General features: G+C 38.0%; 1 protein-coding gene across 21 annotated transcripts in view, besides 2 other annotated features; it reads right to left on the reverse strand.

Annotated features, from left to right (window-relative positions):
* The window catches only part of FGF14 (fibroblast growth factor 14), a 691,640-nt gene that overhangs the window by 354,621 nt on the left and 320,644 nt on the right, over nucleotides 1-16,375 (reverse strand). The window lies entirely within an intron of this gene.
* Nucleotides 2,861-3,362: an enhancer, noted in NCBI's record as "H3K27ac hESC enhancer chr13:102720635-102721136 (GRCh37/hg19 assembly coordinates)". NCBI's record gives its function as "activates a minimal SCP1, AML or CMV promoter by ChIP-STARR-seq in primed H9 embryonic stem cells {active_cell/tissue: H9 hESC(primed)}" and the evidence as "EXISTENCE:reporter gene assay evidence [ECO:0000049][PMID:30033119]".
* Nucleotides 3,363-3,862: an enhancer, noted in NCBI's record as "H3K27ac hESC enhancer chr13:102721137-102721636 (GRCh37/hg19 assembly coordinates)". NCBI's record gives its function as "activates a minimal SCP1, AML or CMV promoter by ChIP-STARR-seq in primed H9 embryonic stem cells {active_cell/tissue: H9 hESC(primed)}" and the evidence as "EXISTENCE:reporter gene assay evidence [ECO:0000049][PMID:30033119]".

Here is a 16,375-nt window from a genome sequence, read left to right on the forward strand (position 1 = left end):
TTTAAAACACTCCAAGATATTTCTGGTACATTGGTATCCCTAGAGTTATGAAAATTGATTCCAGAAGTATAAGGAAGATAACAGAAAATAACATGGTTTATTTTAAAATACAAAAAAGAGCAAAAAATAGGATGCACCTCATATAAGCATACATATAGTAGCCTTAAAATTAAGGCATTTTCTATAGCACACATTGTAAATTTGTATAATTGAGTCTTTTAATAATACTGTCAATCCTCAGTATCCCTGGATTCTGCATCTGCAGATTCAACCAAACATGGACAGTTAATATATAACTGTCCAAACCTAGACAATTGTCCAAATGTATAATATGTTAATGTATATTATATATTTGTAAATATTTATTAATATGTAATTGTCCAAACATGGATAGTTACTATGTATATAAAATATAAAAGTCATTTTTATTTGACCAGGAATTTACCAAGTTATCAAATAACATAATGAATAAACCATTAATCATTTTAAAAATCATTACCTATGGATATATATTCTAGTAAAAGCATATTTAGACAGTTCAGTTTTCAACATATTCCAATCCACTTTTGTGATGTAGATTTTGAATAGTGGATGTAGCTCTTGGCTCTATTTTACCATATTTCACATATAGCTAGTTAAGAATGTCAGCACAAAATAATACACTTAAGTAATACATTAATAATAACATTTGGCTTAAAATATATCCTGGTTTTAAGCAGGAGGTTATTAACGTATCATGAATCCATACCAATTATTATAGTAGAATGCCCAGAATTTAAAATAGGAGGATAATTCATAGTGGTAATATTATTTTTAAAATGAATCTTAATTCAATATCTAATAAGTGCCTTACTATGTAAGTGAAGTCCTTTATCATTGTTACTGTAGCATATGATTAGAGAACACATTAAAAAGCTATTGCTTTCCTGACATCTAATTTGCATCAGGTTCTTAATTTTCAACTGGATACAAATTAGGCACTCAAAAATAAAAGAACCAGTTAAATTACCTTATCAATAACAATACTTTTCACCAAAGACAATTAAAAGTAAGGACATTGACAAGCATGGATTTTTCAGCATCAAATGTATCTTATTGTTTAAATTCATGTTTATAAAGCTCCCATTACATATGTTACTGGACCCAAATAAATAACACAATGTTTATTCCCTCCAATAACCTTCTGAATTTCCAAATGATACATTCAAACAGTGTTTCCAAAGTTTTAACAAGGAAGTATTTCTCTTCACATACAACTCTCTCCTTGTTCTTAGGAGTTCTGACGGTCTTTCTCTAACTAAGTGATAATTATTATTGAATCCTAGTTGTGCTTCAATTGAAATATCTCTTGCATCTGCAGAATCCCTGTCTCCTCTTAAAACAAGAGCTCCCCCCTTTGTACCTAGGCTGTCCATGAACCTCCAGGCCTCTGCTGCTCTCTCCAGTTTCTCCCCATCCTCACAACCCATGCTTGAATCATGAAATGTGCCTGCTCAAAAGCTGCACAGTTCTCCGTGGCTTACAGAAAGTAAAAAATTGTATTTAAAGCTTTCCACAGTCAGGCCTTAGATTACCGTCTCACCATGTCTCCTACTGCTTACCAACCAAATCTCTTGTCTCCACCTCACTTCTTAAAACTATGTTTCTGGAGCATAGCAGGGCTTATGAAGTCACATTTTCCCCCACATCCTCATGAACAGTAGTTCGCACAAAACAAGCAACATATATGTGATATTTGGATTTATTTCAACTGATAGGATCATCAAAAGGCCATTTGGGAATTGTCAATTATTTCATTTTATAACTATGCGTATTTAGTTGCATGGTAAAGTAATTAAGTCACTTGTAAATGACCACTCAGCTACAGTGACCACTCAGCTTGACAAATCAAAACCAAAATTCTGCCTCATGGAAATAACACTTTTTTATTATTTCATATTATGCAAATAATTTAGAAACATTGATAATAGTGATGAATAGGATGTAATGAGATGCTTTCTTTGCTCAATAAAAATATATTGAGCTTCCCATTTTCTCAACTCCTAATTGGGTGATTGCACAAAAAAAAAGATCCACTTAGTGTGAAAACAAGCCAGTCAAATAGAGCACTTCAGTGACCTTCCCAAGAGCACGCTTCCCAAGGAAAATCAAATTGACCATTTAAAAATGCACAGTCAGGGGAGACAAAATAACAAAGAATACAAAGGAATAAAGCATGCCTACTAGATCTACAAAAACCTCAAAAAGGCAAATCTAGTACTTACTGGCCTTAAAGAGGAGAGACAGAGAGAGAGAGAGATTAGGGTGGAGAGTTTATTTAAAAGGATAGTTACAGAGAACATCTCAAACCTAGAAAAAGTTATCAATACTCAAGTACAAGAAGGTTATAGAATACCAAACAGATTTAACCCAAATAAGACTACCTTAACACATTTAATAATCAAACTCCCAAAGGTCAAAGACAAAGAAAGAATCCCAATGCAGCAAAAGAAAAAAATAAACACATAACATACAATAGCACTCCAATACGTCTGGCAGCAGACTTCTCAGTGGAAACCTTACAGGACAGGAGAGTGGCATGACGTTTAAAGTGCTGAAGGAAAAAAATGTTACCCTAGAATAGTATATCTAGAGAAAATATCCTCTGAACATGAAGGAAAAATAAAGACTTTGCAGACAAACAAAAGCTGAGGGATTTCATCAATCTCAGACCTGTCCTATAAGAAATGCTAAAGGTAGTTCTTCAATCCAAAAGAAAATGACATTAACAAGCAATAAGAAAACATCTGAAATAAACAATCTCATAAACAATCTAATGAAGTATCTTAAAGAAGAAAAGCAAGAGCAAACCAGGCTGGGCACGATGGTGAGAGGTGACAGCGTGCTGGCAGTCCTCACAGCCCTCGCTCGCTCTCGGCGCCTCCTCTGCCTGGGCTCCCACTTTGGCGGCACTTGAGGAGCCCTTCAGCCCACCGCTGCACTGTGGGAGCCCCTTTCTGGGCTGGCCAAGGCCAGAGTCGTCTTCCTCAGCTTGCAGGTAGGTGTGGAGGGAGAGGCGCGAGCGGGAACCAGGGCTGCGTACAGTGCTTGCGGGCCAGCTGGAGTTCCGGGTGGGCATGGGCTTGGCGGGCCTGCACTCGGAGCAGACGGCCGGCCCTGCCAGCCCCGGGCAGTGAGCGACTTGGCACCCGGGCCAGCGGCTGCAGAGGGTGTACTGGGTCCCCCAGCAGTGCCAGCCCACCGGCGCTGTGCTCGATTTCTCGCCGGGCCTTAGCTGCCTTCCCGCGGGGCAGGGCTCGGGACCTGCAGCCTGCCATGCCTGAGCCTCCCACCCACTCCATGGGCTCCTGTGCGGCCCGAGCCTCCCCGACGAGCACCACCCCCCTGCTCCAAGGTGCCCAGTCCCATCAACCACCCAAGGGCTGAGGAGTGCGAGCACAGGGCGTGGGCTGGCAGGCAGCTCCACCTGCAGCCCCAGTGCAGGATCCACTAGGTGAAGCCAGCTGGGCTCCTGATCTGGTGGGGACGTGGAGAGTCTTTATGTCTAGCTCGGGATTGTAAACACACCAATCAGCACCCTGTGTTTAGCTCAAGGTTTGTAGTGCACCAATCGACACTCTGTATCTAGCTGCTCTGGTGGGGCCTCCGAGAACCTTTATGTCTAGCTCAGGGATTGTAAATACACCAATCGGCACTTTGTATCTAGCTCAAGGTTCGTAAACACACCAATCAGCACCCTGTGTTTAGCTCAAGGTTTGTGAGTGCGCCAATTGACACTCTGTATCTAGCTGCTCTGGTGGGGCCTTGGAGAACCTGTGTGTCAAAACTCTGTATCTAACTAATCTGTTGGGGACATGGAGAACCTTTGTATCTAGCTCAGGGATTGTAAACGCACCAATCAGCGCCCTGTCAAAAAAGGCCACTCGGCTCTACCAATCAGCAGGATGTGGGTGGGGCCAGATAAGAGAATAAAAGGAGGCTGCCCGAGCCAGCATTGGCAACCCGCTCGGGTCCCCTTCCACACTGTGAAAGCTTTGTTCTTTCGCTCTTTGCAATAAATCTTGCTACTGCTCACTCTTTGGGTCCACGCTGCTTTTATGAGCTGTAACGCTCACCAGGAAGATCTGCAGCTTCACTCCTGAGCCCAGCGAGACCACAAGCCCACCGGGAGGAACGAACAACTCCAGATGCTCTGCCTTAAGAGCTGTAACACTGACCACAAAGGTCTGCAGCTTCACTCCTGAGCCAGCGAGACCACGAACCCACCAGAAGGAAGAAACTCCGAACACATCTGAACATCAGAAGGAACAAACTCCAGACGCGCCACCTTAAGAGCTGTAACACTCACTGCGAGGGTCTGCGGCTTCATTCTTGAAGTCAGTGAGACCAAGAACCCACCAATTCCAGACACAACGGCTCACGCCTATAATCCCAGCACTTTGGGAGGCTGAGGTGGGTGGATCACCTGGCGGGTGGAACTCCTGACCTCAGGCCCTGAAACTACTAAAAGAAAACATTGGGGAAATTCTCCAGGACATTCACCTGCACAAAGATTTCTTGAGCAATACCTTAAAAGCACAGGTAACCAGAACAAAAATGAACAAATAGGATCACATCAAATTAAAATGCTTCTACACAGTAATGGAAACAATCAACAAAGTGAAGAGACAACCCACAGAATAGGAGAAAATATTTGCAAATGATCCATCTTACAAAGGATTAACCAGAAGATATAAGGAGCTCAAACAACTCAATAAGAAAAATTTGAATAATCTGATTACAAAATGGGCAAAATATCAGAATAGACATTTCTCAAAATAAGACATACAAATGACAAACAGGTATATGTAAAGGTGGTCAATATCATTCATTGATCAGAGAAATGCAAATCAAAACTACAATGAGATATCATCTCACTCTAGTTAAAATGACTAATATCCAAAAGACAGACAATAACAAATGCCACCAAAGATGTGGAGAAAAGGGTACCCTTGTACACTGTTGGTGGGAATGTGAATTACAACAACCACTGTAGAGAACAGTTTGGAGGTTCCTCAAAAAACTAAAAATAGAAATCCCATATGATCCAGTAATCCCACTGATAGGCATATACCCAAAAGAAAGCAAAACAGTATATCAAAGAGATACCTTCATTTCTATGATTATTGCAGTACTGTTCACAATACCCAAGATTTGAAAGCAACCTAAGTGTCCATCATCAGATGAATGAAGAAAATATGTATATGTACACATTTAAATTCTAACAGCAATATTTTGACAAAGGAATTGAACTAAACCAGTGAGTTTTCATGGAAAATAAGACAAATGTGGTATATTTGTGTTAAATAAGGCATGTTTTTTAAAACAGGATTTAAATTTTTCCTCTGTAGACTGTAGTACAAAGACCTATTTTCATATCCTATTTTCATGAATAATGCCATGAAGCCGAAACTACAACAAAGGTTAAGTCCAGTTGGTAACTGGTTCTCTAAGGACTGCAATCTTGTTTGCTAGAAAACAAAACAAAACAAAACACACACACACACACACACACACATAAAAACATCACTGAAAGGTTTTCTAAGCTCATCTGAGGGAACAGGCTGCCATCCTATAACTTTAGCAGTGAAATAAGTCATAGTTTACACCAGCAACAAAATCAGCCAAAGTACTTTCTCTCTAAATCATAGGTAAACATCACAGAAGGAGAAAAAGATGTTTAACAAATAACCAAACAAGGGTTATCTGCTACCCTTAGAAGCAAGTGTGTGCACATCGTGGGTGGAAAAGTAACAGCACGACAAGGCAGAGAGAACCAGATCCAGATTGCAGGGCAGATTTAAACATCATGTCTTTGTGGATAAGCAAAGGAAAAACTACCGAAGCCATTTTTTCATTATACATATAAATCACAGTAAAATGTGTCACAGGGAAGTTTCGCTTGATGATCTGATGCTTCAGCTATCTTCTGGAGGATACTCAATTTTAGATTGATGACAGTCATCAATTTGCCTCCAATTTGCTTTATACTGTTCTCCCCCTGTTTACTATTTGTTTTACTTTTCCTCCCTCTTGGTATTTTTTATAATCATCACATTAAGATTAAATAACAGAGCAAAAATCTTTCCTTCAAAAGCAACAGTAAACTGAGATTTATCACTGTCTTTCTTGGGTCCATTTGTATGAGCAGTTTTTCCGGATGTAATAGAAAGTGATCCGTTTACTTCTTTTCTGCATCACTTCTTTTTCCATTGATGGTAGACAACTAGATACAGACACATCCTATCTTTCTCTACTCTTCATTTCTCCATAGGAGATACCTACTGAGTAATGATATAGTGGCAGTTGTTTCTGTTTTTCATCATTCAAGATGTAACTATATAGAGATCTGGGCAATCGGAATAGGAGGAAGTCCAATTTTAGTCCTGAAAAATTGTAATAGACGCAATCTGCTGTGGGAGTGGTGGGAATTACACTCTCACGAACAGACTTACTATTGGCAAAACTATCAGGGCTAGAACAGCCGTTCCCCTCCAACCCCCAGCATATAAAAAAGTAAATGGAAAATATAAATAGCAAGGACTCTATTTATACCACCGCAAAATAAGGAGGGAAATCATGAAAATTGAGAGGCAGAGCTCACTGCTGTGATAAAGCCTTACATAAGGATGCAAGTAAATACGGTATTTGTGAAAGAAGAACAGAAAATCACAAAGCAGGAAAAGGCAATGTATAAAGGCATTATAAGAGGCAGAGATAGAAGGGGGAGAGAAGATGGAATTTCAGGACACAAAATTGCCATTCTCATTGGAGATAGCAAAAAGTAGCATTAACTCTTGGGGAAAATTGGGTCATTGATTTACAGAACAATCTTTAGAATCTTTCCCAGAAGTTATTTAAAATCAATAAAAATTGATTCGTAAACAATAAAGCAGAAAAGGATACATAAATAAATAAATAAAGGATGGAGGGCAAAGTATCACTCTCAGAATTATGGGATTCATAAGGAATCATCAAGAACAAAAGTAGCAATTAATAGCCCAAAGAAAGAAATATTTAACTAATAGAAATCATTTAATACAGGGCCCTACAAGTTCTTAACAAATTTAATGATAGCCCTTCCCAAAATTCTACCAACACTGTCAACTAAGTAATACAGGATAAGGGAGTGTTATACACTGAATTTTAAGGAAAACTTTTACAACTCATTAATCTTCCCACAGCCAAGTTGCTTTAATGTGTGAGGAAAACAGAAAGACTATTTTACATAAGAAAGGACTGGCAGCATATTATTCATTTACGCTTTTGTAAAAATTACCTGAAGCCTCACTCAAATGATAGAAAAAGAAAAACAAAGAAGTTAGGAAATAGAGAAATAAGAGTTGTAAATTGAGGTCTCAAAATCAAATGTCTTACTGGAGGAGGGCTAGTAATATAAATGTGTAAATTGGGCGAAGAATGGCAATAGAAAGTGGTGATATTTGTGGCAAACTGAAGAGTTCATGCCCCACCTAAAGGCACTGAAATGCAAATGCTGAAAATATATCTTACTTCTTACCGTATCTGTTGCCTCCACCTAGCCAGAGGCTGGCAGATCACTTGAGGTTAACAGTTCAAGACCAGCCTGGCCAACATGGTGAAACCCCATCTCTAATAAAAATACACACATACACAAAAATTAGCCGGGTGTGGTGGCACATACCTGTAGACCCAGCTACTCAGCAGGCTGAGGCAGGAGAATCATTTGAACCCAGGAGGCAGGGGTTGCAATGAGCTGAGATCATGCCACTGCACTCCAGTCTGGGTGACAGAGCAAAGCTCCATCTCAAAAAAATTAATAAATAAACAAAAATTAAATAAATTGTAATAAAAGATGATGGGCAGCACATTGTTGCAGTGGTTTCTGAGTCTGTCCCTCCCCATGCACGCCTATTCCAACATGCAGCAGGCAGCAGGCCACAGCCTTCACCATATGCTTCCTGTGGAATTTAGGAGCACCTTTGATGATGGATTATAATAATCACAAGATTTGTTCTGTTCCAGTGGTGCCAGCTAATAAAGCCCAACATTTATGTATAATTGGGATCCTGTGCCAAGAAAGTTAAATTTATCCAATAAAACATATTTCCCCTTTTGAAGCTATATAGAAAGACATTATTGCCAACTTCATTGCAAGGAAATTTTTCAAAACATATAAAATCAGTGACTCATTCATTCCTTAAACCTTTCATTAGTTGACTAAATCTTTCATGCTAACTGGGAAAAAGCAATAACAATCAAATGGAAGATCTCTCTGTCATGTAATTTTTATATCAAAGGCCTATGATTATACTTGCATTAACATGTTTAAAACTCTGTATTTATAGTTGAACTGTGTAAAAATTAATGGAAAAACAAAGACCAAGGCCTTGATCTGAGGGAGATGGGGGATTCCCTGGAGCTAAGGAAAGATCTTGATGACAGCTTTTTCCAACAGGGAAATAATAGTTGTATCATTCTCAATACCAGGCATATTATTCTCATTCGCTCCCTCTCTCTCTGCCCTTCCCAACAAGGTCTGAGACAGTTTCATAAAAGAAGGAAGAGCTATCTTGTCTTTTTGAGACAGGATCTTGCTGTGTCACCCAGGCTGGTGTGGAGTACAGTGGTGTATTCATGCTCACTGCAGCTTCAACCTCCTGGGCTTGAGCATTCCTAACACCTCAGCCTCCAAGTAGGTGGGACTACAAGTGTGCACCACCATACCTGGCAATTTTAAAAAATTTTTTTTGTAGAGATGGGGTCTCACTATGTTGCCCAGGCTGGTCTCAAACTTCTGGACTCAAATCATCCTCCTTCATTGGCCTCCAAAGTGCTAGGATTATAGGCATGAGCCACCACGCCCAGCAGGGCTATTCTTTATGAGCTCCAGGTTTACACATTTGTTCCTGGGGGAAAAATATCGTATTCTTTCACCCAACTCCCTACCTGGCGAGCATTCTTCTGAACCATGACTCTCAGATATTGACACCTGGAAAAATACAACTATTCATTAAACAAGTTTTGAATTCCTAATGTGGCAGGTGTCATGTTAGACACTGGAAACACAACTGTAAACAAGATAGATTTAGTTTACATCTTCACAAAATATTGAAGTAAAGGGAATACTTCTAAACATTTTATGAGGCCAACATTACCCTGATATAAAAGCTAGAAAACGACACTACAAGAAAAGAAAGTTACAGGCCAATATCCCTGATGAACACAGATGCAAAAATCCTCAACAAAATATCACCAAACCAAATTCCACAGCACATTAAAAAGATTATTCACCATGATTAAGTGCAATTTATCCTAGGGATGTGAACATAGTTCAACATAAAAACATGATCCACCATATTAGTGGAATGAAGGATAAAAACCGTATGATCATCTCAACAGATGCTGAAAAAGTACTTGAAAAAATTCAACATTCTCTTATGATAACAATTCTTAATAAATTAGATATAGAGAGAATGTCTCAAAACAAAAAAGGCTGTATATGGCAAGCTCACAGCTAACATTATCCTCAGCAGGGAAAAGTTGAAAGCTTTTCTTCTGAGATCAGGAACAAGACAATGATGCCCACTCTTCTCAGTTCTATTCAACAAAGTACTGGAAGTCCTAGGCAGAGCAATTAGGCAAGGGAAAGAAATAAAAGGCATCCAAGACAGAGATGAAAAAATTAAATCAGCCCTGTTTGCAGATGATACATTCTTAAACATTAAAAACTCTGAAGACTTCACCAGAAAACTGTTGGAACTAATAATTTGGTATAATTGCAAAGTACAAAATCAACATTCAAAAATCAGTAGAATTTCTATATGCTAACTATGAACTATCAGAAAAAGAAATCAAGAAAGCAATTCTGCTTACAATAGCTACAAAAAACTTAAAATACAATTACCTGCTGCACAATGAATTTGGTTAATGACAGAAAACATACAAGACAGTGGCCCTATAAGATTATAATCAAGCTGAAAAATTCCTATCATCTTAGCACAATGCATTTCTCATGTGTTTGTGGTGATTCTGGTGTAAAAAAACCTACTGTGCTGCCAGTCATCTAAAATATGTAACACATGCAATTATGTACAGCACATAATAGTTGATAATTATAAAAACAACTGTTATTTGGCTTATGGATTTACTATTTATCCAACTGGCTTGTGGATTTACTATACATTTTATCATTATTTTAGAGTGTACTCCTAACTATAATAGACAAGTTAACTGTAAAACAGCCTCAGGGGAGTCCTTCAGGAGGTCTTCCAGAAGAAGGCATTGTTATCATAGGAGATGACAGTTCCATGCGTGTGATTGCTCCCGAAAACTTTCCAGTGGGACAAGATGTGGAAGTGGAACACAGTGATATTGAAGATCCTGACCCTGTATATGCCTAGGCTAATATGTTTCCATCTTAGTTCTTAACAAAAACATTTAAAAAGTAAAAAAAGTAAATGAATAAATTCTAGAAAAAACCTTACAGAATAAGAATATAAGGAAAAATATTTTTATAGAGCTGTGCAATGCGTTTGTGGTCTAAGCTAAGTGTTATTACAGAAGAGTCAAAAATTTAAAAATAACAAAAATTTTATGAAGTAAAAAAGTTATAGTAAGATAAGGTTAATTCGTTATTAAAGAAAAATATTTATTTTTAATAAATATAGTGCAACCTATGTGTACAGTGATTATGAAGTCTACAGTAGTATGTCCTAGGCCTTCACATCCACTCACCACTCACTGACTTACCCAGAACAACTTCCAGTCTTGCAAGCCCCGTTCATGGTAAGTGCCCTAGGCAGGTGTATCACTTTTTAATCTTTTATACCATATTTTAATGTACCTTTTCTATGATTAGATATGTTTAGATACACAATCACTTAACACTGTGTTACAATTGCCCACAGTATTCAGTACAGGCATATGTTGTACAGGTTTGTGGCCTAGAAGCAATAGGCTATGCCACATAGCGAAGGTGTATGGTAGGCTATACCATCTAGGCTTCTGTAAGTATTCTCTGTGATGTTTGTACAAAGATGAAATTGTGTAATGACACATTTCTCAGAACATATCCCCATTGTTAAGCAACACACAACTGTTTTGGGGAAAAAATTTAACCAAGGAGGTTAAATATTTGTACACTGAAAAACTGTAAAACATTGATGAAAAAAATTGAAGACACAAATAAATGGAAGACACAAATAAATTGAAGACACAAATAAATCCATGAACATGGATTGGAAAAATTAATATTGTTAAAATGTCCATACTTTCCAAAGCAATCTCTATCAAAATGACATTTTTCACAGAAATATCCAAAAAAAATCTTAAGTTTTTTTTATGGAACCACAAAAGAACCCTGAATAACCAAAGAAATATTGAGCAAAAGGAACAAAGCTGGAGCCATCACATTACCTGACTTCAAAGCATACCACAGAGCTATAGTGATTAAAACAGCAAAGTACTATCACATAGAGTAATAGAACAGACACATACATCAATGGAACAGAATATAGAGCATAGAAATAAAACCACATATTTATAGTCAATTGAGGACAAAGATGTCAATAACACACAATGGGGAATGAACAGTATTTTCATACATAGTGTTGGAACAACTGGATATCCACATGCAGAAGGATAAAATTATATGCTTATCTCATGCCATATACAAAAATTGGCTCAAAATGGAAGACTTAACCTAATAAATCTTAAACATTTGAATGTATGACACAAGTTATAAACCACTAGAAGAAAACATAGAAAAAAAGCTCTGTGACATTGCTCCGGGCAATAACATTTTGGATATAAAGCCAAAAGCACAGGCAACAAAAACAAAAGAAGACAAATGGGATTATATCAAACTAAAAAGCTTCTGCACAGTAAGGGAACAATCAACAGAGTGAAGAGACAGTCTGTGAAATGGGAGAAGATATATGTAAATGCATTTGATAAGGGGTTAATATCTAAGATACACAAGGAACTCATATACCTCAGTAGTAACAAAAGAATGAAATTCTTAAAAACAGGTAAAGGATATGAATAGTTATCTCTCAAAAGGAGATACACATGGCTAACAGGTATATGAAAAATGTTCGGCATCACTAATTATCAGGAAAATGCAAACTAAAATCACAATGAGATATCACCACACACCTGTTATTTTGGTGATCAAAAAGATGAAAGATAACAAATGTTGGCAAGGATGTAGAAAACAGAAAACTCTTCCACTGTGTTGGAAGGAATGTAAATGAATACAGCTTTTATGGAAGACAATATGGAGGTTCCTCAAAAAATTAAAAATAGAACTATCACATGACCCAGCAATCCCACTACTGGGTCTGTATCCAAAGGAAATTAAATCACTATGTCAAAGAGATTTCTGCTCTTCCATGTTTACTGCAGCATTGTTCACAATAGCCAAAATATGAAATCTACCTAAGTACCCATGAACAAATGAATGGATTTTTTAAATGTGGTATATATATACAATGGAGTATTATTAAGCCTTAAAAACGAAGGAAATCTTGTGTTTGCAACAACATGGATGAACCTGGAAGACATTTATAGTAAGTGAAATAAGTGAGGTTTAGAAAAACAAATACTGCATGTCCTCATTCCTATGGGGAATCTTAAAAAATAAAAGCCACAGAGGTTGAGAGCATAATAATAGTGGTTTCCAGGGGTACGGGGTGGGGGCTCAGAAGATTTTGGTCAAAGGACACAAAATTTCAATTCAATAGAAAAAATAAATTCAAGAAATCTATTGTCCAATATGGTAACTATAGTTGATAACTATGTATTATATTCTTGAAAATTTCAAAATATTTTAAGAAGTTCTCACCACAAATATAAGTACACGAGGTGATGCAGATATTAATTAGCTTGATTTAACCATTCCACAATGTATACATATTTCAAAACAGCGTGATGTACACTATAAAAATATACAGTTTTATTTGTCAACTAAAAACAAGTCAAACAATACACACAAAAAATAAAAAACTTACAGTCTAGAGGAAAGACTGATAAGTAAAAGACTAAAAAGTGTGATTATAATACTATGAATATGTGCAATCTGTATCGTAATGCAGGATGCTACAGGACTCTTACGAAGACATCTAGCCCAATGAAGCAGGTATCAGGGGAGGCTTCTCATCCAACTGCACTATGGAAGATGAACAGAGGGGTAGGATTTGACGCTGCAGAGGGATGGAAGTTCATAGAGACCCAGCAGTTGGAGACAATGTAGCACAGCTATAGAGAGTTAAAAGCTGGAGGAATGGTGAGCCATGACGTTGGAAACTCTCGACGTGTATTAAGAACTCGAACTTCATTCTCTCAGATTAAATGAGGAAAGCTAGCAAAGAGTTTTAAGGAAGAATATAACATGATCACATTCACCTTTTAGAAAGAGTTCTACATTCATGGTGTAGAGAAAGTGGCAAGGTTGAACTCTGAGAAACGTGGTGGCTAGAATCTGGGTAAGAAGTCCTGTGGACAATGGGAAGTAGCTGTGAGAACAGTGGAGGATATAGAAATGGTCAGGAAGAAAACCCAACAGACTTGGTGGTTCTTCAGACAGTGTTGGATTTAGGTTGCAGTCAGAGCTGTCTCTGTCCTCCTGTTCCTCAGAGCTGAAGTCTTTGCTGATGGTCACCCAGGGAGCCCTTAGGTAGTTAATTTTAGTGGCCAGTTCTATTTTCACCATCAGTCTCTTCCCCAGAGACACACAGGATCTCTGCCACTGGCTCCTGTCTTACCATGCTCTCGTTTTTGTTAAATTCTTTCTTCCTTAGCACCAACTTAATGCCCTTCAAAAATCCATGTTTAAAATGTATGCTTTTTCTACAGAATGAAATACAGTTTACTCTGAACTTTCAGGAAATCATGGAAAAAGAGAGTTTGCACATTTTCTTTCCCAGAGGAAATCATATTAAAGTTAAAAAATAAGTTATTCATTGATCTATTCAATAAATATGTATTTATTTACTTTTATTATTTATTTATTTATCTTTAGAGATAGAATCTCACTCTGTTGCCCAGGCTATCCTTGAACTCTGAACTTCAAGTGATCCTCCTGCCTCAATCTCCCAAAATTCTGGGATTACAGGTGTGAGCTACCATATCTAGACTCAATAAATATTTATTAAGTGTCTTTTATGCGCCATGTACCATACATGATACTGGGGCACAGCAGTGAACAAAACACAGAGAGTCTGTGTCCATGGAGCTCGTTCTTCAGGGAGGAAACCGACTCTGTACATCACAAATACTATACGTACACACTGACTACATATACACACATACATATAGATAGATGTGTCAACATATATTAAGTCTGATGGTGATAAGAGGGAAGGCATTGTTACAGTGTGCCAGGGAAAAAGCCTCATTATGAAGACGACCTTTGAGCAAAGACCTAAAGAATATAAAAGAGGAAACACAGATATCTGGGAGAAAAGTAGTCTGCAAGCAGGATCAATAAGTGGTGCCTTGCCTGGCATGTATGAGACATGGCCAGTAGACTGTAATAGCTGGAGCAGAGTGAGCAAGAGGAAGAAGCTGGGAGATGCATTCATGACGCACCGGGCAAGGATGGGGTGGGAGGGAAGAAGATCATACAAACTTGCCTCCTCTTTTCATTGACTTGGGAAGCCACTGGAGTGTCTGTGTAGAGGCCTGATACCATTTGACTTGAGTATTAACAGGCTCATCCTCGTTTCTACTTAAAGAAAAGATTGTAGGAGGGTAAGGTAGAAGCAAAAAGACCAGTTAGCAAGCTTTTGCATCCAGAAGACGACGATGACTTGGGCTGGAGTTATGCAGTGGAGGTGGTGAGCAGTTGTCATGTTCTGGTTATGTTTTGATGAAATGTCTACAGATTTTGCTGAAAGAACCAGGGTGGGTGCCGGCGACGTCAAGGATGATTCCCAGGTTTGGTGCTGCAGTTTGCTTAGAGAAGTCTTAGACAAGCCTTTTAGACGAGTCTGCTGGGGCCATCCTCAATTCCTCCAAATACGCTTTCTCACCCTTTGACTGCTGGCTCTCCTGCTAGCCATTTTCTCCTTTTAAGATGAGGATATTTAATAATCACTCTCTTGATTCTCTACCCATCTTCTTCCAAAAATCAACCATCCAGTTTCCAAATGTGTAAAATGTGTGGGAAAATCAAGCTATTTTCAAAAGTGCTGTAAGTGATTACAACCTAAAAGGATAAATGTTGGTGTTTTGTCTACACAGCCTCTCTTTCTCCCTCCAGAACTAATTGTCAATGTAGACAGCAGAATGAGGATTAGCTGGGCTCCAGAAGAGTTCATCATGTTCTGTGGGAATAATCTAATTTACCCACATTTGTGAAAAGTACCTTTATTAGATTTGTCATATTGTGCCATTGAATTAAAGACCAACTAACATTTGACTCTCAGCAGAAAGCTATGGAGACTAAGCATCACTAGACTACCCAGGGGAAGCCACTAGGCAACCAAGACCACAGAGGACTTCCTCCAGCAAAAGGGCAATGACCCATTCCTTTGCATGAGGGATGTTGGGATGTTCTAATAAATGTATTTGGCCTGAAACCTTCTTCTCACATTCAAGGACAATTAGAAACATTTTAAAGAGAAGGTTGAAATAGCAGGAGGCAAAATAGTAAGTCATGTAAAAAAACAAACCATAAAAGATACCTGAATTAATGTACTTGAGAATGAGGAAGGCTTCTCCTTCTATTTGGCTAAAGTGAAATTGTTGCCCTTCTTGGCCATTCATTCAGCCAAAGCATAATCCTTAAACCAAGTAAAAGAGAGAATTGCATCATCTTGCCTTTGGGCACAAATCCCTTGAAACTCTGAGTAGATGCCTGAGGTGTTTAAGAATGTATCAAAACCTTCAGGTAAAGGAATAACACTCTGATTACAGGGTGTAGGCATCAACTAGTAAGGAAGACATGTTGGAGGATACCAATAAATGTTCAGGACATTTAACATTTTCCTTTGCCTTTACTCTGGTTGTGATGTTTTGCTCACGGCCACTGAACATTCATCGACCTTCCCACTGGCTTTGGTCAAAATATCCCCAATGATATTCTCTATCATTTCCTGAATCTTTCACTTAATGAAAAGATTTTCATCCCTGCTCTTTTTAAAAAAAAAATTGTGGCCTTATTATCAATTGGAATAGATACTCATCCTCTGACATTTTACGAGTTTAAGATTGTCATTAGTTATATAATTATCTTATGTATTTTAATTTATTTACATTACTATGACATGTGTTTTTGTCCTCCATGTAGAACTACAAACTCTTTATATCTAGGGATAATATCTAGTTGGTAAAATGCGCCAAAACTTTTAGG

This window comes from Homo sapiens, chromosome 13 (genome assembly GCF_000001405.40).
Source record: "Homo sapiens chromosome 13, GRCh38.p14 Primary Assembly".
Classification (NCBI taxonomy): domain Eukaryota; kingdom Metazoa; phylum Chordata; class Mammalia; order Primates; family Hominidae; genus Homo; species Homo sapiens.